Source organism: Homo sapiens, chromosome 12, assembly GCF_000001405.40.
Source record: "Homo sapiens chromosome 12, GRCh38.p14 Primary Assembly".
Taxonomy (NCBI): Eukaryota; Metazoa; Chordata; class Mammalia; order Primates; family Hominidae; genus Homo; species Homo sapiens.
In genome coordinates, this window is record NC_000012.12 from 67,666,143 (window position 1) to 67,687,675 (window position 21,533).

General features: G+C 38.8%; 1 long non-coding RNA gene across 2 annotated transcripts; it reads left to right on the plus strand.

Annotated features, from left to right (window-relative positions):
• Nucleotides 1-4,777: 4,777 nt before the first annotated feature.
• On the plus strand, nucleotides 4,778-19,008 carry LOC105369816 (uncharacterized). 2 transcript variants are annotated; one of them, XR_945052.3, is made up of 3 exons: nucleotides 4,778-12,606; nucleotides 12,721-12,830; nucleotides 15,090-19,008. It is a non-coding gene; the product is annotated as an uncharacterized LOC105369816 (long non-coding RNA). The 2 variants fall into 2 exon arrangements; XR_945051.3 differs by having other exon boundaries at nucleotides 4,778-12,830.
• The last annotated feature ends 2,525 nt before the right edge of the window (nucleotides 19,009-21,533 follow it).

Sequence of the window (21,533 nt, forward strand, 5' to 3'; positions counted from 1 at the left end):
TGTTTGCAAGATATGGCAGACTGGCCCACAGGATGGGGATGGACATTTAAAGAAAATGGATTTGAGGGCTCATAAGGATACAGAAAAACAGATGCTCTCTGATTTACAATAGGTCAACTTAAAATGTTTTGAGTTTGTGATGGGTTTATCTGGTATTGAATGCACTTTCAGTTTACAACATTTTCAACTTCGGATGGGTTTATCAGGAAGTAGCCCTTTCATAAGTCCAGGCCCATCTGCATTAAGGTAGAAATAACAGTGATGTCTCTTTGTGTCTGAAAAGTTGTTGTTGCTATTTGTGTCTGGTTTGCTACATTGCATCAAAAGGAATCACAGTATCTTACTTGTTTAAGAAAAGAAAGGGTTGCAAATTAATGCCTTTGGTTACAAAGTATGAAGCACTGGTATACTATCTTTTGCTGAAGATTTGAAGCCTTTGAGTAGAATCTTGTTTATTCATTCATTCAAATTCTTTTCAGGAAATTTTAAATTTTAAAAAGATTATAAAAATGGGGTGGGGGGATTTTACATATTAAGTTTTTATATTAAGACTAAAATGAATGAAGGGAAGAAGGGAGGGAGGGGGAGAGGGAGGCAACTAGATTCGTGAGAAAGAAAAACAGACTAGGAGGTCAGCAAAGGCTGCTGTGGCCTAGTGGCTGAATGTGGTGTTCTGAAGGAGGAAGGAGCTCAAGAGCAAGCAAGGCAAACTCCCTCTCCCCCTCCCTGCCTTTCTTCTTCCCTTCCTTTCATAGAAATTAAACTTTTACTCTCTAAGATGGTATATTTGGATTTGGCATATTTGAGTTTACCAAAACAAAAAAAAAATTATAAAAAGTGAAAGAGGAGGAGAAGGAGGAGATCAATCCCTGCCTTTGAGGACATTATGTTTAATTAGGAAGACAAGATTGGACAGAAAATATTAAGTTTAGAACATTGAAAGATGAAATTCAGAATAAGTGCAGGTCATTTGTGTTGCTCTTGGATAATAATAGCTTTCAGAAGGTGGGTCTCCAGCCAGGACTTGATGGAATTCAGATTGAGAGAGAGAAAAAGGATATTCTAGGAGAAGCAAATTGCTTTAACTGAGGGATGTCATGAATCATTCATTCGTATGTCATCCAGTATTTACTGAGCACCTACGTGTATAATTTTTGGCATAATGCAAAGGATGGGCAAAGAGACTGGGTTTGTGGCAGTGTGAAGAAGGGAGAATAATTTCTTCGGAAGGTAGGCCTTGTCCTGTGGTTTTTCTCAAATGTGCCATGTTGTTGTAGCCACAACACATGTGCTGTCTCTGTCTAGAGTGCATTTGCCAATCTCTGCCTCATCCTGTGAGATTCAGCCCAGACCAGATGTCACTGCCCCTACAAAGTCCTCTTTAAGCTGAGGTTGAGCAAGATCACCCTTACCAAAAGGTAACACTGGCAATCTCTCTGCTAACTGCAAGGTGAGTAGAACTGAGTTGAGAAGGCAGCAGAATCCTCTCCCCTGTTTCCCTCCATCCTTCCCATTGGGCACACACTGGCAAAAAAAAAAAAAAGAAAAGAAAAACAAAAAGCAAGTGATGTATGAAGATACCATGTTAGTAAGGGAGGTACTTGTTAACCAGACAATCATAAAATGTTTATAGTTTGTAAGCAGTGCCCAGCATGAGAAGAAGCAGCTAGATTCGTGAGAAAGAATAACAGACTGGGAAGTCAGCAAAGGCCGCTCTGGCATAGTGGCGTGGATGTGGTGTTCTGAAGGAGGAAGGAGCTGAAGAGCAGGCCAGAGCACGGGGTGGAGGCTTGCCAAGTCTGGAGTTTGGTGAGCCAGGGGAAAGCTCGTGCAGGATAAGGAGGGACAGAAATGCAATGCCGGACCTTGGAGAAGGCCACACAGACCATTTGGAGGAGCTGGGAATTTATTCTGATTACACCAGGAAGCCATTGATGCATGTACAATAAATTAAAAAAAAAACAAAAAAAAAATCATTCTGGTTTCCTATGGAGAAAAACTGGAGGGGAGCCATATGGAGATGGTGCCACTCTATGAGACAGAGGACTTCTAACCATCTGGGAGGAGTTGAGAGAGATCATTTGATGGAAGAATGGTCCTCCACCAGAAGTTCTGTTTAAGAAGTGAAGTGAGGTGGGGATAAGGCTACGCAGGATTCTGAGGATACCATTTGTGTTGCTATTTTTGTAATTGAAATAATGTAGGCTGAAAAAAAGTGTTTTTACAGCGTGACTACGTAAAAATTACAGATGCAATGTAATTAATCTATAAAGGACATTTAAAACCAGTAAGAAAAATGCTAATATTCCAGTGGAAAAAAGAGACAATAATACCTTCAAAAAATTTACATGAGCAACATAAATGGACCAAAAAAATTATAAATTATAAATCAAAGTAATAAAAATTAAAGCCATGAGTTTATTTTTAACCCACAAAATATCAACAATTAATTAAACAACCATTTTTATTGCTAGCAAGGGTGTGGAGTGATATAAAGCACTCGTTTGATGCTGCTGGGGCATAATTAGCAGAGCCTTTCTGGAGGGCACTTGGTAATCTGTACCAAGAGCTTTAGAAATGCTCATTCATTTTTACCTGTTGATTCTACTTCCAGAAATTGGTATCAGAATCCATGATGTAAACAAAGAGTTATGTACAAGAATAATCATATCTACTAGCACAAACTTAGAAAAAAACCTTGTATCTATTAACAGAGGTTTGCTTAATAAATTATATCAATTATGAACAACATGTTTACAGTGTAATATTAAAGAAAAAAAGGGGGGCACACAAGTGAATGTCCTCCCTACCAAAGCAGGCAAAGGCAGAGGCAGAGATGGCATTGGGAAAAGAATTAGAAAGAAATACAGCAAAGTATTAACAGGTAGCTGATACTAATTTTAATTTTCTTATATATTTTTCATCAGTTTTCACAATAACCATATTTTAAAAATATATTTAAAAACTCAATACATTATTATAAAGAAAAACATTTGTAAGGAATGAATAAAACCAAAAGAAAACTGCTATGGACTAAGTAAACAGAGCACTTTAATAATAGGGAGGAAATTTGCTTCCTGGCCTATTGAACCATGTGAACCAGTTCCTACATTTGCCAGGTACTTTCTCACTTCTGGTTTCCACCAACTTGGAATATGGCCCTCTCCTTGGCCTGGCTCACTCCTGCTGTCCCCATGTCTCAAGTAGCTGTGCTTCCTCCCTCTGCCCTGCCTGTCTCCCTCACTCAGCCTTCATCAGATGAACTGAGAGGATCCTGCCATCTCCCATGTTCATCTCAGTGACTACTTTCTAGACCTTAGAATTGAGTGGTCAGGCTGGTTTAATTATCACACTTTGGGTTCCTTGAGGGCCAGGGACTGTCTTTCTTGCTGACATAAAGGGACGATCCCCAGGGACTGACATAAAGTTTGGGACAAAACAGGGCCTCAGTAAAAGTTTGTGAGTGAGTAAATTGCTTGGGGAGGGTGGTTCAAGAGAGATGTGCACAAAGGAAGGCATCTTTGAGATGGCTTTGAGAAGGAGTTTTGGAGAGAGTGCAGGAAATGGAACGTATTACCCAGTGCCTGGAGGCTGGTGGTGAGGAAATGGTGTGGTGGGTACAGGCCCGCTCATGAACGTCGGCCGTGAATGTGGGGAGATGGAGAGAAAGATGATGAGCAAAGGTGGAGCAAGTGAGTATTTTTTCCAGGTAGGCAAAAGTAATCAGTCTAGTACTTTCTTCTACTTAAACTCTCCACTGACCTCTCATCACACTAAGGATAACATGGGTAATTTCCTTGACATGTCCTTCAAAGCCCTTTGCGATTGGGCTCCTGCTTCTTTCCAACGTCATTTGGTTCCATTCTTCCCTGGCTCAGTGCATTCCAGCCACATCTGTTTTCTGTGTGTTTCCTGAATGTCTGTCTCATTCCTGCCTCAGGACATTAGTACTTCCTGCTCCCTCTGCTGAAACCCCTCTGCGCTCTCTCCTTGTGTGGTTGGTGTCTTACTGTTTATCACTTAGATCTGACACTATCTGCTTAGATAGTACTTCCTTGGCCACTCTACCAGTGCCCATTTCCCCCACCCCTAGTCCTTCTCTGTCACGTTACCCTGTTTATTTTTTTTTTAAGTGTCTTACAAAAGACACTGATCAGTGTCTGGAAAAACCTTATTTATCTGTTTAATGATTGTTTATTGTCTGTCTCCCTCAATAAGTGTAAGTTACATTATGCTAGTTCTTGTTACCTCTGTATTTCCTATTGCCTTAAACAGCACTGGCATGCAGTAGGCATTCCACAACTGTTTGTTATTGAATATAAAGGCTTATGTGTGTTGGAGGAAGTAAAGAAGAAGCCAGTGGAGAGGGAGAAATTAGAAATGTTATATGCCAGGAAGGCAAATAGGTATCATTTCTAGTGCCAACCTTGAATGCTTGGTAGTGGCTGCCTAGAACCCTGCCTTAGGATTATGCAGTTTCCTCAGGGTTCAGCAGAAAACAACGCTATAATTGATTAACAATGTCTTATTGCTAATTAGCAAATTCCATAGGCATAGGAAGGGGCAGTTTAGTGGTTGAATAATAGACTTCTATTTCAGTGTGCATTGCTTCAATTCTTGTCTTGACACATGGACATTGTTTTCAGGATATGGCTGAGACTAGATCTCAGTTAATGTATAGGTTGTTGGGTTTTTCCTTTACAAACCTGTATAATATGAAGAGCACAGATGCTTTTGTATCTTCTTCTTCTTCTTCTTCTTCTTCTTCTTCTTCTTCCTATTATTATTATTATTATTATTATTATTATTATTATTGAGATGGAGTCTCGCTCTGTCACCCATTCTGGAGTGCAGTGGCAAGACCTCGGCTCACTGCAACCTCCACCTCCCGAGTTTAAGCGATTCTCCTGGCTCAACCTCCCAAGTAGCTTGGACTATAAGCATGTGGCAACATGTCCGGCTGATTTTTGTACTTTTAGTAGAGACGGAGTTTCACCATGTTGGCAAGGCTGGTCTCAAACTCTTGACCTCAAGTGATCCGCCTGCCTCAGCCTCCCAAAGTACTGGGATTATAGGCATGAGCTGTCACACTCGGCCATAGTATAATTTACTAATTTGTTCTTTAATGTGATATTTGTCCATATGTGTGTATGCCTTCAGTGGTATGGGAAAAGGACAGCAAGTATTTCTTAATCATCTTAGTCTCCTTTCTTTTATACTTTCAGTGCTTGATCTTTTGGGTGATATCAGAATGGTAGCTACTTCTGGGTAAACATCATTAACAAGCCCTCTGGCCAGCAGTAAGAGGTGGCCTCCCTGGGATGACAAGGTAGAAGGGAGCTGCAGTTGAGTTGTTTTCCTATTTCAGATACTCCCTATCTCCTTTTAGGTTTGGAATCTGCAAGTCTCTTACCCTCTAGGCTAATTATTTCCTTTTGAGAGCAGTGAGGCCTTTTATCAAGATGGCTACATTCTTGTGTGTCCTGACGCACAAATGATGAGTAATGGGCTGATTAGCCCAGTGACCTTCATGAATGATAAAAAGGGAACATAAAGATGAGAGGTTTTTCCCACTCTGGGAATCAGCTTCTCTCTGGACTTTTTTCAAGACATGCTCCCTTACAATAAATAGTACATTGCGCTTATTTCTTGTCTGATCCATGCATCCTGATATTTTGAAATGAGAATTTTAAAACCAAGGATGGAGTACTTGACTCCCAGGCCCCTGACCAGGATCTGCTTAGCACACACTATTTAATAGTGTTCAGATTAACTTCTGGGCACCTGCGAGCCACCACAGTGCTGCTATTTTGATAATCCCATGGTTTAGAGGCCCTGACACCATGGCCACTTCCACCTTTTACTCTGATTAAGCGCTCATGTTGCTATTCTGTGAACCAGTGCCAGAGAGGAAGGTTGGCTCTCTGTTTGGAAGTGGCCCAAGCTTCTATTATAACCACTTTGGGAAAAAAGGCAAAAGAGCAGCTGTCCTACACAGTGTCTTTCTCCTCCTCCTGCTCACCCAGTCTGAGCTCAGACTTACCATGATTCCCTCATTTGACCTCGAGCATATCACCATCAGGGGTTTGCAATTCAAAGTACAGCATCACAGCAGACAGAACAATGGCTTGGCCAAAGATGTCCATGTCCTTATCCTCAGAATATGTGAACAGGTTAGGTTGCATGATGTTTTGACTGCATTGTGTTTTCCCAGAACTCATATGTTGAAGCCTAACCCCCAATGTGTCTGTATTTGGAGATAGGGCCTTTAGGGAAGTAATTAAGGTTAAATGAGGTTGTAAGGATGCTGTTTGTATTAGTCCATTTTCACACTGCTGATAAAGACATACCCAAGACTGGGAAGAAAAGAGGTTTAATGGACTTACAGATGCACATGGCTGGGGAGGCCTCGCAATCATGGAGGAAGGCAAGGAGTAGCAAGTCACATCTTATGTGGATGGCAGCAGGCAGACAGAGGGAGCTTGTGCAGGGAACTCCTCTTTTTAAAACCATCAGATCTCATGAGGCTTATTCACTGTCACGAGAACAGCATGAGAAAGACTTGCCCCCATGATTCAACTACCTCCCACCACATCCCTCCCACAACTCATGGGAATTCAAGATGAGATTTAGGTGGAGACACAGCCAAACCATATCATCCCACTCCTGACCCCTCCCAAATTTCATGTCCTCACACTTCAAAACAATCATGCCTTCCCAACAGTCCCCCAAAGCCTTAACTCATTTCAGCATTAACTCAAAAGTCAACAGTCCAAAGTCTTATCTGAGACAAGTCAAGTCCCTTCTGCTTATGAGCCTGTAAAATCAAAAGCAAGTTAGTTACTTCCTAGATACAATGGGAGTACAGGCATTGGGTAAATATAGCCATTCCAAATGGGAGAAATTGGCCAAAACAAAGGGGCTACAGGCCCCATGCAAGTTTGAAATCCAGCAGGGCAGTCAAATCTTAAAGCTCCAAAATGATCTCCTTTGACTCCATGTCTCACATCCAGGTCATGCTGATGTAATAGGTGGGTTCCATGGTCTTGGGCAGCTCTGCCTCTGTGGCTTTGCAGGGTACAGCCTCCCTCCTGGCTGCCTTCACTGGCTGGCATTGAGTGTCTGTGGCTTTTTTCAGGTACACAGTGCAAGCTGTCAGTGGATCTACCATTCTGGGGTCTGGAGGACAGTGACCCTCTTCTCACAGCTCCACTAGGCAGTGCCACAGTAGGTACTCTGTGTGGGGGCTCCCACCCTACATCTCCCTTCCACATGCCCTAGCAGAGGTTCTCCATGAGGGCCCTGCCCCTGCAGCAAACTTCTGCCTGGACATCTCCAGGTGTTTCCATACATCTCCTGAAATCTAGACACAGGTTCCCAAACCTCAATTCTTGACTTTTGTGCACTCGCAGGCTGAACACCACGTGGAAGCCACAAAGGCTTGAGGCTTGCACCCTCTGAAGCCATAGCCTGAGCTCTACATTGGCCCCTTTCAGCCATGGCTGGGACACAGGGCACCAAATCCCTAGGCTGCACACAGCATGGGGACCCTGGGACCAGCCCACGAAACCACTTTTTCCTCCTAGGCCTCCAGGCCTGTGATGGGAGGGGCTGCTGTGAAGACCTCTGACATGCCCTGGAGATATTTTCCCCATTGTCTTGATGATTAACATATGCCTCCTCGTTGCTTGTGCAAATGTCTGCAGCCAGCTTGAATTTCTCCTCTGTAAATGGGATTTTCTTTTCTATTGCATTGTCAGACTGCAAATTTTCCAAACTTTTATTCTCTGCCTCCCTTGTAAAACTGAATGCCTTTAATAGCACCCAGGTCACCTCTTGAATGCTTTGCTGCTTAGAAATTTCTTCCACCAGATACCCTAAATCATCTCTCTCAAGTTCAAACTTCCACAAATCTCTAGGGCAGGGGCAAAATGCCACCAGTCTCTTTGCTAAAACATAACAAGCATTACCTTTGCTCCAGTTCCCAACAAGTTCTTCATATCCATCTGAGACCACCTCAGCCTGGACCTTATTGTCCATATTGCTATCAGCATAATGCCATCCAACAAGTCTCTAGGAAGTTCAAAACTTTCCCACATTTTCCTGTCTTCTTCTGAGCCCTCCAGACTGTTCCAACCTCTGCCTTTTACTCAGTTCTGAAGCCGCTTCCACATTTTCGGGCACCTTTTCAGCAGTGCCCCACTCTACCCATACCAATGTACTGTATTAGTCCATTTTCACACTGCTGATAAAGACATACCTGAGACTAGGAAGAAAAGAGGTTTAATGGATTTGCAGTTCCACATGGCTGGGGAGGCCTCACAATCATGGAGGAAGGCAAGGAGGAGCAAGTCACATCTTACATGGATGGCGGCAGGCAAAGAGAGCGTGTCAGATCTCATTAGACTTATTCACTATCACAAGAATAGCACAAGAAAGACTTGCCCACATAATTCAGTTACCTCCTACCAGGTCCCTCCCACAACAGGTGGGAATGAAAAATGAGATTTGGGTGTGGACACAGCCAAACCATATCAGTGTCCTAATCTAATAGGACTGGTGTCCTTATAAGAGGAGGAAGAGGCATCAGAGCTCACGTTCTCTCTACATGTGCACAGAGTAAACACCATGTGAGGACACAGCAAGAATGCAGATATCTACAAACCAAGGAGAGGCCTCATCAGAAACAGATCCTGCTGGCACTTTGATCTTGGACTTCCAGCCTCCGGAATTGTGAGAAAATCAGTGTCCGTTGCTTAAGCCACCAGCCTGCAGTATTTTGTTATGGTAGCCAGAGCACTGAGTACACATAACAGAGAGGAATTAAAGTTGCAGATGGAAATTAAGGTTGCTAATCAGCTGACATTGAGATGTGGAGAGGAGCTTGGATTATCTAGGTGGGTCCAATGTAATCCTTAAAAGTGGAAGAAGGCAAAGGTAATGAAGTCCTATTGACACCTTGGTTGTAACCTAGTGAGAACTGTATTGAATCTTTAACCTAAAACACTGTAAGATAATCAATTCACATTATTTTAAACAACTACATTTTTGGTAATTTATTACAATATCAAGAGAAAATCAGTATAAACATGTTAGGGCATATTTTCTGTTTAATAACACTTTAATGAATATTTTGGATATACACACATACTTGGGATTCATTTCCTCCAGAAAGAAACATTGATATAGGGAACAATAAAATGACAAATTTTATTCTATCTGTAGCCCCTATAAGTTGCCACTATGAGAACACTGAGTAAATGGAATAAAAAAGAGCACAAATTTGCCCTTTCAGTTTATTTTTCTTTCTTTGCCAAAACCAAAACCCACCAGAAGCAAAAATATTAAAGAACTCTGTATTTAAATTTAATTCGCTATTTAAATAAAGCAAAATTGAGGGTAACGTAATACCTACCTGCAAAGGAACTTTTGAGTAATAGCTAATTCTCACCTTTATAATCATTACTTTTGAGAGAGAAAGAGAAAGAGCTTTTGTGTGTGTGTGTGTGTGTGTGTGTGTGTGTGGTGTATTGTACTATATTGTGTGTGTGGCTTGTTCAGAGATTTTGAGAAACCATTTGTGGTTTCAGGACTCACAGCCATTGAAGGCAGCTTTCCATTACTGTATTTTGTAAAAAGACTTCACTGTTCTCTCTGGATTTTCTATTCTCTCTTGTCAACAATCCATTTTTATTAGTTATTAAATAAACCAACCCTTAATTTCCTTCACAGTAAATACAGTATTACCTGTGCTGATCTCTGAAAAGGCCTTTCTTAATACCAATTAACTTTTGAAATACTCACAGTTCCTAATATTTTATCATCTCTGGAAAAATAAAAAGGAAGAGAGTGCATAGTCAAATGCACACATTCTCCTTTTCTCAATTGGAAGTAATTTTCTCCCTCCAGCCTCTCTCTGTTCCTTAGCCCTCTGTGCTATTTTCACTTTGTATCAATTACTTACATTTACTCTTTAAACATCTTCCGTAATTTGCTCCAACTCCCCTGCAGCTTTCGATAGTAATTCTTTTTAAATTCCCCTTTTCACAGTACACACACTTTGAAGAACTTTAAAAGAAAATACCAGTATTTAAAATTGAGACTTAAGATGATCATGTTCTTGTAGGCAGATGTAAATATTGTAGTTATACTCTCTTGAGTATTTTTTAGTAGTGTTAGAACTTTCAGCAGTGGTTAGAACTGGTTTGTGCTGCAAACGGTTTTAGTGACGGTATCCTGAATGCCTGTACTCTGTACTCATTATATATAAAAGGTAGCATAACACAATGATCCAATTCATAATATGCCTTCCCCTAATTTTTACATCACACGTTTCAATTCTGAGACAGAATTTGGCTGAAGTATTTAAGATTTTCTTATGGTTTTGAGTTGTTTAAATGTTGATACATATATTTCCAAATATGACCTCATTGGAGAGTCAGTGTATTTGGCTGACAATTAAATAAAGTTTATAAGCTTACAAAAAGGGATGCATACTACAGCCAAGTTGAAAAAGTAACACTTGGGCACAAAGCTACTTGGCTTACTTTCATTGGGTTGTCTTTTGTGATATTAGGCAAATAATTTCATTTTTTAAAATTTCTGCTGTTGGGCAAATGAGCCTGTTGTTGAGGCTTACTCATATGAATGTTTAAATTTTTCTCCTCTGACATCAGTCATTCATCAAAACCACCTGGGTATCCAAAACCTATATTTATGGTTTCACTGTATTATGGTTTTGCATTATTCATCTGCTAAATATCTTTTGAGTACCATTGTTCATCATTGCATCTCAGTGCCTAGAATAGGAAGAAGAGCTAACAAGAATAGTTCCTAATAATTAGGATCACTAATTATGTGCCAGGCACTGCTCCCTATAGCCCTCTGATGCAGGTACTATTGTTATCCCCATTTTACAGATGGGGAAGCTAAACCATAGACAGAGTGTCTTAGCTAGGACTGCTATAACAAAATATCATACACTGGGTGGCTTAAACAACAAACATTTATTTCTCACAGGTCTGAAAGCAGGGAACTCCAAGATCAAGGTGCTGGCAAATTCGGTTCTGGCGAGCGCCCTCCTCCTGGCTTTCAGACAGCTGCCTTCTTGCTGTGTTTTCACATGATGGAAATAGAGGGAGTGTGGTCTCTTGCTCATCTTATAAGGACATTAATCCCATCATTGGGTTCCCACCCTCATGACCTCATCTAAACAGAATTACCTCCCAAAAGTCCCACTTCCTAATACCATCACAGTGGGGACAGGGCTTTAACATATGAATTTTGGAGGGATACATACATTCAGTCCATAACACAGAGGAAGTAACTCATCCAAGGCCTCATAGCTAAAAGGTGGTAGAGTTGGAATTGAACCAAGGATTCACACTTGAAAGTCTGTTTTTAACCAGAATGAGTGAGTGAGTGAGTAAGGCACTTATGTTTCCCAAATTTCTTGAAACAGAGTAAAAATGTTGACGAAAAACATATAGCCCATGGGAAACAAATACTACTTGGAAAGGCATAACAGCTTCTCACCTGTTGAGGAGTATTCCATCTTCCTGACCTCCTATTTAAACAAACAAACAAAAAAACCACACCCAGCATCACTCTGTTACTCTGTTATACTGATGTTGAAGGACTTTTGCATACACTTCTGGAAACTGGGACAACTGAGCACTACTGACCTGCCTCAGGGATGTTGTGAGGGGTAATGAAAGTTTGTGGAATGTTTAAGACATGAGTGAAAGACTTTGAAGTAATGCAAATTCTTATAAAATACAAAAGTTATTGCTGGCCCGGCGTGGTGGCTCACACCTGTAATCCCAGCACTTTGGGAGGCTGAGGCGGGCGGATCACGAGGTCAGGAGTTTGAGACCAGCCTGGCCAACATAGTGAAACCTTGTCTCTACTAAAAATACAAAAATCAGCCAAACATGGTGGCACATGCTTGTAATCCCAGCTACTCAGGAGGCTGAGGCAGGAGAATCACTTGAACCTGGGAGGTGGAGGTTGCAGTGAACTGAGATTGCACCACTGCACTCCAGCCTGGGGGACAGAGCGAGACTCCGTCTCAAAAAAAAAAAAAGTTATTGTTTTTATATTGTTATTGTCCCTGGGAATCTTTGCTATCGGTGTACTGTGTACTTCCTGCCTACCTCTGAGTTTGTAAAGTAGGTAAAAGAGCAGATGTGATTGCTAAGAATATAGCATTGACCTCTATGTAAAATTTATAGGTTCTCACACAGAGTGCTGAGGCTTTTGATCAGCATCTTTGAAAGTATTGCTTGTATACATTTCAAGTAAAAGATCATTCTAATTATTTCATAGTCATACTTTACATGAAAGAGCTTTGTAAATAATTGGAAAATCTTTAACAAGCTTTGATTAATAATGCTGGCTTTAATTTTAACTTCATATTATTGTTTTCCAAATGATTTCCATAATAGAGACCATGGTGGATCTAAGCATGAGATTTTAAGTTCCTGCCTTTCAAAGGTGTGGCTAAAAACAAGGAGGATAGAAAACACTGTGTGCTGTCATGCCAAGCTCTCTGTGTAGGGACTTTATCTTCACCATTGCATTTCATCCTCAAAACAGCCCTGCAAGGTAAGTATCTGTATTTTATAGATGGGAAAAACTAAGATTCAGAAAGTTTACATAACTACAAATCTGGTAAGAACTAGAGCCGAGATCCATTTCCTGCTCTGTCTTTTCTCACAGTTGTTGCTACAAGGCCACTGAGCTGACTCACCACCCCGGGAGTCAGTGAAGGCTTCCCCGAGGAAGCAGTGTTTGAGCTGAGCCTTGAAACAGAAGTAAGAAGACTCCAGGTAAATGAGAATAGCAAGTGCATTTCAGGCAAAGGAAAGGAAGTGTGAATGAGCAGGTGTGCCCTGTGAACTAAAGATGGCTGTCCAGGGCAGAGCATGCATTTTACGAGGCTTGCAGGAGACCCAGTATTACAAGTAGGAGATTCAACAGGACCACCAATACTGGGCATGCAGGTGTCGCCATGCAACTGTAGAAACGGGAATGTCTGGTCTCCAAATTCTCATTGATCAGAGAAAATAAGAATGGGGTAATGAAATAATTTTTTCCTGAGGTGTATTCTTAACTTCCAACTAAATTTTCACTGCTGAATCTTCATAGCCAACACTGCACAAGTGTTATTGACACAGTGCATTGGACCCAGAGAATGGAAAAGATGCTAGGCTTTTTTTTTTTTTTTTTTTTTTTTTTTGAGACGGAGTCTCACTCTGTCGCCCAGGCTGGAGTGCAGTGGCGCGATCTCGGCTCACTGCAAGCTCCGCCTCCCGGGTTCACGCCATTCTCCTGCCTCAGCCTTCTGAGTAGCTGGGACAACAGGCCGCCACCACACCCGGCTAATTTTTTGTATTTTTTTAGTAGAGACGGGGTTTCACCGTGTTAGCCAGGATGGTCTCGATCTCCCGACCTTGTGATCCGCCCGCCTCGGCCTCCCAAAGTGCTGGGATTACAGGTGTGAGCCCCCACGCCCGGCCGCTGCCAGGCTTTTTGCCTTCTCCAGGCCGGCATATATTTGGTGCGCATTTAAATCTCCCTTAAACAAAGTGTAGAAAAAAAAGTGCTTTAACAAATTTGAATCAATATATCTTTCACCTGTGCAAGATCTATGAGAATAGAGACTGAAAGTTTTTTCATTATATTAATAAATCACTAGTGCTTAGCGTGAAATAGTTTCTTAATTCTTTTCAACAGATAAACAAATATGTAGATTTTGAAAACATCTTTTAAATTCCTATTAAATATCTCGTTTTAAAAATACATCTGAAATAAATCTTTCCCTACACATATTAAAAAACCTTTTTCTTTTGGGGTTTACAAGTAGTCTCTCCAAGGAACTGGGGCAAAGAAAATTCCAAGGAAGCTACACGTATTAGAAAAATCTTTGTGTTAGTTGAGAACTGTACCATGTAACTTTGTAAGACAATATTTTATTTAATTTTCTTAAACGTTGTTATAAAGGGATGTCACTATAGTGATACTGTTTTAGGTGGATATAATACTTACCTTTACCCTCTTTTTATTGATTTTTAAATATTACACACATTTTAATTAGTGGCAATTTTACAATAATGTGAGGCTCTTAGAAAAGTGTTCATTTTTGCTCATGAGAAATGGGAAATGTGTTGGAGTTTTGGAGTTCCAGTTCAAATAACTGAAGAAAAAAATATATGTATATATGTATATAGTGGCTTCAACTGCATACTTTAATCAGCTTAGGAACAGTTATCCCAAATTTCTTTCTTAACACATAGTATTATTCTTTCCAAAGTGACTAAAACTAAGAATTTTTGAATAACGTTTATTTCTGTGATAAAGTAATTATGTACAAGTTAGAAGTTATGCTAGGGGGCCTGGAAATTCTCGGACAGAAATTCTATTTTCTCATAATTTCATGGCTTTTAAATATGTCGCCATTGCATAGAGTTTTCACAGCAGCTGGTAGAGATGTAATATTAATTTTATTTGCCTAGGGAAGGGAAGGAAGTAGCTGGCCATTGTGTGTATGTGATGTAGTAGGGAAGACTAGGTTACTCTGAAGTAGTTTCGAGCATTAGTACCTTAGGTATTGCATTGAATTATTTAAGAAGGTGGGGAAAGTTCAGAAGAAAATGATTGGAATGATAGTACCAAAATTTCAGTGAGGTATGGTTAGTGGAATTAGAAATATTTATCCTGGACACCATAGGAGAATATAAAACTAGTTTCAAATATTTGGAGAGCTGACAAGTAGAAGATAAATTAAGGAATTGTTTGTATTGTCCTATGGCCTTGAGAAGAAGCTATATGGAGTCTTTTGCCTCAAAATGAGAAAAGCACAAAGATGTCCAAAGAGGCAAAGAGAATTCTCATTCAAGATGGCAGACACAGCACATATCTCCTTTCTACTTTAAATCTCATAGAAATGTCAGCAAAGAAGAACTAAGGGTAATAAATTAAAGACTACTCGGTACAGAAGAAAGGGCATCAGGAACTAGGGATATAGATAAGTTTCTTGAAAGTGGGAATACTTGGAATTGTATTAACAGCTTAAATCACATTCACAGGAGAAGGCTGCAGTAGAGGCTAGAGCTATTTTTCCTGGCAACAGACCCAGAGAGAAGCTCAACACTTGGAGTATGAAAGGAGAGTTGGAAAGAAATCAACTGTGGAATAACTGCGTGAGTCATAGTCCATGTTCTCCTTCCCTGCATCACATGCTCAGGCTAAAACCAGAGGACTAATATTTAAAATAATTGAATAGTCTTCGTGAGAAGGAGCCCTAGTTGGGGTGATGCCTCATCTGAGTAAACTTCTTCCCACTTTTGCTGGGAAGTGGGAGAAGTAGGGAGGGGGACCTCCAACCTCCTCTTCTTTCACTACAAGGTCTAAAGCAAAGGCTGCCAGTGACAGCCACTTGTGTAGACAAGAGAGAGCTGGACAAGGCCGAGCTATCTGCATTGAATGAGGTGACTTACCTCAGTTGTAGGTATGAATCTATAGCCAAGGATTATGAAAACCTGAAGAAAAATGAGGACAAAAGAGCAGGTTGAGAGAAAAAATACCCTGACTCTGGAGGAAATAGATAATTCAGGACATAGAAAATTCTTTATTCTATGTAGTATCCTCATGGAAACAAAGTCGAGAGAAAGCATTTTTAGTGCAAAATTAGATTGCTAAGAAAGAACAACTAAAACAAAATAAATAGTTATTAAAATGAAAAAGTAATTGTTAAAGTTAGAAATTCAAGGGAAGACCTGGGAGAAAAAGTTGAAGAAACTGCTCTAAATGTAGTGCAAAAAGATAAAGGATGGAAAATGTGGGAGAAAAGTGAAGAGATTAGAGAAGCATCCAAAGGGATGTTCAGAAAGAGACAAAACAAAGAATAAGAGAGAATTTTCCATAAGTGAGGAAATAGGACTTGAGATTGTAAGAACCCTAGAGAATGCAAAATAGGATGAATGAACAAACTTAGCCCAAGGCACATTCTTGTGACATTTTAGATATTGAGAATAAAGGGAAGAGTCTAAAAGCCAAAAGAATAGATTACTCAGTGAGAATCCAATTGGTATTAGATAGATCATCAGCAACTGTAAATGCTAAGAAAAACAAAACAAGAAGCATGCCTTCAAAATGTGTAAAATAAAGTTTTTTGAACCTAAAATTCTCTACTTAGCCAAACTATCAATCGATCAAGAGTGAGGCATTTTCAAGCATGCAAGAACTCAGACCATTTACCACCCACAGACTATTTCTGAAAGAATTACTGAAGCAAAACAAAAAAGAATCCAAGTAGGAGGAAGCCATGGCCTCTAAGGAACAGTGGATCTCACCCAAGATTGTAATGAAATATAATTCCAGGATGACAACCTTGAGGCAGGCCTAGAAAGCCATCAGTCTGAATTAGAACCAGAAGTCAGATGCTCTGTGAAGAATCTCTTTCAGGAGGACATGGATTTCTTCTATAAATTGAATGACTGAGAAGCTGAGTGGTCTTGTGACAAGGCAAAGGCATGGTAGGTCATTGTGATAAGGTATCATCCAAACACTCTCCAAACTGTGAAGTAATTTTCTTCTTCCAATAGCAAAGGTTTATTGACAAGAGTTACGTCTCCTCTATAGGCTCAAGGGCACAGCTGTGCTTGGTTCTGCAGTGAACAATGATCTCCCTACGAATATTATGAATGCTACTTTTCAGTTTTCAGTTTAAAAAATCAATTTATAGACAATGCATCAAAGATTAATTGTAGTTATAGGACAAGTGTGAAAACAATAGTACACTGGAATGGAGGTTAGGAGAGAGGGAAGGAGCAAAGGAACAAGATGTAATGATGTTGGATTCTTTTCATCAGAAATAAAAAGAATTAAGAGATATTGTGTCTACATTTGAGAAGTCAAAATAGGGTTTCAAGTATCTTATATAAATTTGTTAATTGTAGTGATATCACACTGAGGCACTATAACATAGTCGTTAAGAGCATGGATCCTGGAGCCAGAACACCTGCGTTTGAATTTTTGCCACACACTTCAATTTGGGCAAATTGCTTATCTGTGCCTTGGTTTTCTCAGCAAAAATTGAAAATAAATAGTTAATATTTCACAAAGTTATTTGAAAATAAAAACAGTTGATATATATAAAGTGCTTAGAACAGTCTTTGGCACATAAAAAATTATTCTATATCATCATATGTTACCGATGATAACGATGATGATGATGATGATGGAAAACAACTAAACATCTGGAGAAAAGGGAACCCTTGTACCCTGCTGGTGGGAAAGTAAATTAGTACATTGATTATGGAAAACAGTCTGGAGGTTCCTCAGAAAATTAAAAATAAATCTACATATTACCCAGAAATGGGATTTCTGGGTATATATGCAAAGAAGATGAGATAAGTATGCCAAAGAGACATCTGCACTTTCATGTTCACTGCAGCATTATTTACAGTATCCAAGAAATGAAATCAATGTAAGTGTCCATCAGTGGATGAATGGGTAAAGAAAATGCGGGGAGGGGGATTAGGAAGATGTTGGTCAAAGGATACAAGGTTTCAGTTAGACAGGAGGAATACATTCAGGAGATCTATTGTACAATATTGTGGCTATAGTTAATAACAATGTTTTATATTCTTGAAAGTTGCTCTAAGAGAATAGGTTTTAAGTGTTGTCACCATAAAAATGTTAAGTATGTGAGCTAATGCATATGTTAATTTGCTCAATTTAGCTATTTCACAATATATACATATTTTAAAACAACATATTGACATGATAAATATATACAATTCTTTGTCAGGTACAAAGTTAAATGAAAATACAACACAAAACATTGAAAAAGTTAAAAAATAAAAATTTAATGGGCAGAGATCGGAAAAGGGAGGTAGTAGCTTGAGAAAATTTATTTTTTCAATTTTTTTAAAATGAGAGATCAACGAATGTTTAAACTTGACAAGTTAGTAAAGAGAGGCATAACCATATTCAGTGTTATGGAAGCAATCTTCAGAGAAATTTCTATTTTGTCCTATTTTAAGGGTTTTTAAAAATTCATATGCAAGCACTACTTTTATTTAGTTTTTACCAATTTTACTGAGGTGTAATTGACATACAATAAACTGCACATATTTAAAGTGAACAGTTTGATACATTTTGGACTTAGGTACACACCCCTGAAACTATCACAGTAATCAAGATGATGAACATAACCACCAACCATCATGCTCTAAAGTTTCTTCATGCACCTTGATAATCTCTTCTTCCTACCTCTTCCCACTCCCCCAATCTCAGGCAACCACCGTTCTGCTTATGTGACAATAAATTGGCTTGCATTTCCTAGAATTTTATATCAATGAAATCATATAGTATGTACTCTTACATCTGACTTCTTTCATTCAGCATAATTATTTTGAGATTATTCACACTATACTGTGTAACAATACATTCATTCTGTGGATAAACCACAATTAACAAATTTACTTGTTGATGGAAATCTGGTTTTTGTTTTGCTTTTTCCAGTTTTTGGCTATTACAAATAGAACTGCTGTGATCCTTCATGTACAAGTCTTGGTATGGGCTGGGATTTCATTTCTTTGGGATAAATACTTAGAAGTGGAATGGCTGGATTATATGATAGGCATATGTTTAAATTTTTAAGAAACTGTCAAACTGTTTTCCAAAGTGTTTTACAGTATATGAGAATTCCAGTTTCTCCACATCCTTATCTTGGCAGTCAACTCTATCAGCCATTCTGACAGCTATGTTGTGGTATCTTATTGCAGTCTTATTTTACATTTCCTTGGTGACTATTTATATTGACTATCTTCTCATGTTTTTGTTTGTCATCTGTATATCTTTATGGAAAAGTATCTGTTCAGATATTTTGGTCGTTTAAAAAATTGTTTTTTTTTCTTTTTATTGAGATTTCAGTTTTCTTTATGTATTTTGGATACAAAGCTTTCATTAAAGATATGATTTACAAATGTTTTCTTCCAATCTGTAGCTTGACTTTTTATTCTTTTAACAGTGCCTTCTGAAGAATAGAAATTTTTTATTTTGGTGAGGCTCAATCTTTACCTTTTTTCCTTTCATGGATTATGCTTGGGTGTTATGTTTACCAAATATTTGCATAACCTATGATCACAAAGATTTTCTATTGGGTTTAGTGTTAGGTTTTGTATTGAAGTCTGTGATCAGTTTAAAGCTAATCCTTGTGTGTGGTTGAAACAAAATTAATTTTTTTTGCATACATGTATTCAATTGTTCCAATGCCATTTGTTGAATCTCTCCTTTCTTCACCAAATTGCCTTTGTACTTTTGCCAAACATCAGTTGCTGAAATATGTGTTGGTCTATTTATGGACTCTATTTTGTTCCATTGATATATTTGTTTATCTTGATTCTAATATCAGACTGTATTGATTAGTCTTATAATAAGCCTTGAAAGTACACAGTTAGTTCTCCAACTTTGCTTTTCTTTGTCAAAATTGTTTTGGCTCTTTTTTTTTTTTTTTTTTTTTTTTTGAGATGGAGTCTTGCTCTGTTTCCCAGGCTGGAATGCTGTGGCGCAATCTCAGCTCACTGCAGCCTCTGCCTCCTGGGTTCCAGCAATTCTCCTGTCTCAGCCTCCCTAGTAGCTGGGATTACAGGCGTAAGCCACCATGCCTGGCTAATTGTGTGTGTGTGTGTGTGTGTGTGTGTGTGTGTGTGTGTGTGTGTATTTTTAGTAGAGATGGGGTTTCACCATGCTGGCCAGGCTACTCACGAACTCCTGACCTCAGGTGATCTGCCTGGCTCAGCCTCCCAAAGTGCTGGGATTACAGGCTTAAGCCACTGTGCCCAGCCTGTTTTGGCTCTTATAGGTCCTTTGCATTTCCATATGAATTGTAGAATCAGCTTGTTGATTTCTACAAACAAACCTTTTGAGATTTTTATTGGGATTGCATTGGGTCTGTAGATCAATTCAGGAGGAACTGACATCTTAACAATATGAAGTCTTCTCACCCATACCAATGTACATCTCTCCCATTTATTTAGGCCTTCTTTAATTTTTCTCAGCGGTTTTGTAATTTGTAATGAAAAGATCTTGCCTATATTTGTTAGATTTTTTTCCTAAATATTTCATAATTTCATCCTATGGTGTTATTTTTAAAATTTCATTTTCCAATTATTTGTTGACAGAATATAAGAAATAAAATTTATTTTTGCATATTGATGGCATATTCTGTGAAATTGCTAAGCTCACTTATTAGTCCTGCAAGTTGTTTTTATAGATTTCTTCAGTTTTTTTACATAGACGATCATGTTGTTGGCAAGGAAAGACAGTCTTACTTCTTATCCAATCTGGATGCTCTTTATTTCTTTTTCTTCTATGACTGCACTGGCCACAATCTCCGATACAGTACTGAATAGAAGTTTGAGAGCAAGCATCCTTGTCTTGTTCCTGATCTTAGAAGGAAAGCATTCAGTCTTTTGCCATTAGGTATGGTATTAGTTATACTTTTTTGTATATGCCCTTTATCAGGTTGAGGAAGTTCCCATTTATTTTAGTTTACTATAAATTTTCATCAGGAATGGCTGTTGGATTTTGTCATTTTTTTAAATCCACTGATATAATCATATGGTTTTTCTTCTTTGATATGTTAATAAATTACATTGATTTTTTATTATACCAATCTTGCATTCTTAGGATGAGCCCCTCTTAGTCATTATGTATTACCCTTTTTATGTGTTGTTGGATTTGATTCCTTAAAATATTGTTTTGAACGTTCACATCTATGTTCATGAGATATATTGCTCTGTGGTTTTACTTCTTTTCATGTCTTTGTTTGGTATTTAGAGTATTTAGCTCACCACATAGAATGAGTGGCGAGTTATTACCTTGTCTTCAAATTTTTGGAAGAGTTTATACAGAATTGATATTATTTCCTTCTCAAAATGTTTGATATAATTCTCCACTGAACCTGAGTCTGGAGTTTTCTTTGTAGGAAGGTTTCTATCTACAAATCCAATTTCTTTCGCAGATATTGGGTTGTTCACATTATCTTTTTCTTTTTAAACGAAATTTGGTGGTTTGTGTCCTTTGAAAAATTAAAAGTGCTCAACATCATTGATCATCAGAGAAATGCAAATCAAAAGTACAATGAGATATCATCTCACTTCAATTAAATTTGCTTATATCCAAAAGACAGGCAATAACAAATGCTGTTGAAGATGTAGAGAAAAGGGAGCCCTTCTACACTGTTGGTGGGGATGTAAATTAGTACATCCACTATGAAGAACAGTTTGGAGGTTCCCCAAAAAGCTAAAAATAGAGCTACTATATGATCCAGCAATCCCACTGCTGGGTATATATCCCAAAGAAAGGAAATCAGTATATCAAAGAGATATCTACACTCCCATGTTTGTTGCAGCCCTGTTCACAATAGCCAAGATTTTGAAGCAACCTAAGTAACCATCATCAGATGAATGCATAAAGAAAATGTGGTACATATACACAATGGAATACTATTCAGTCATCAA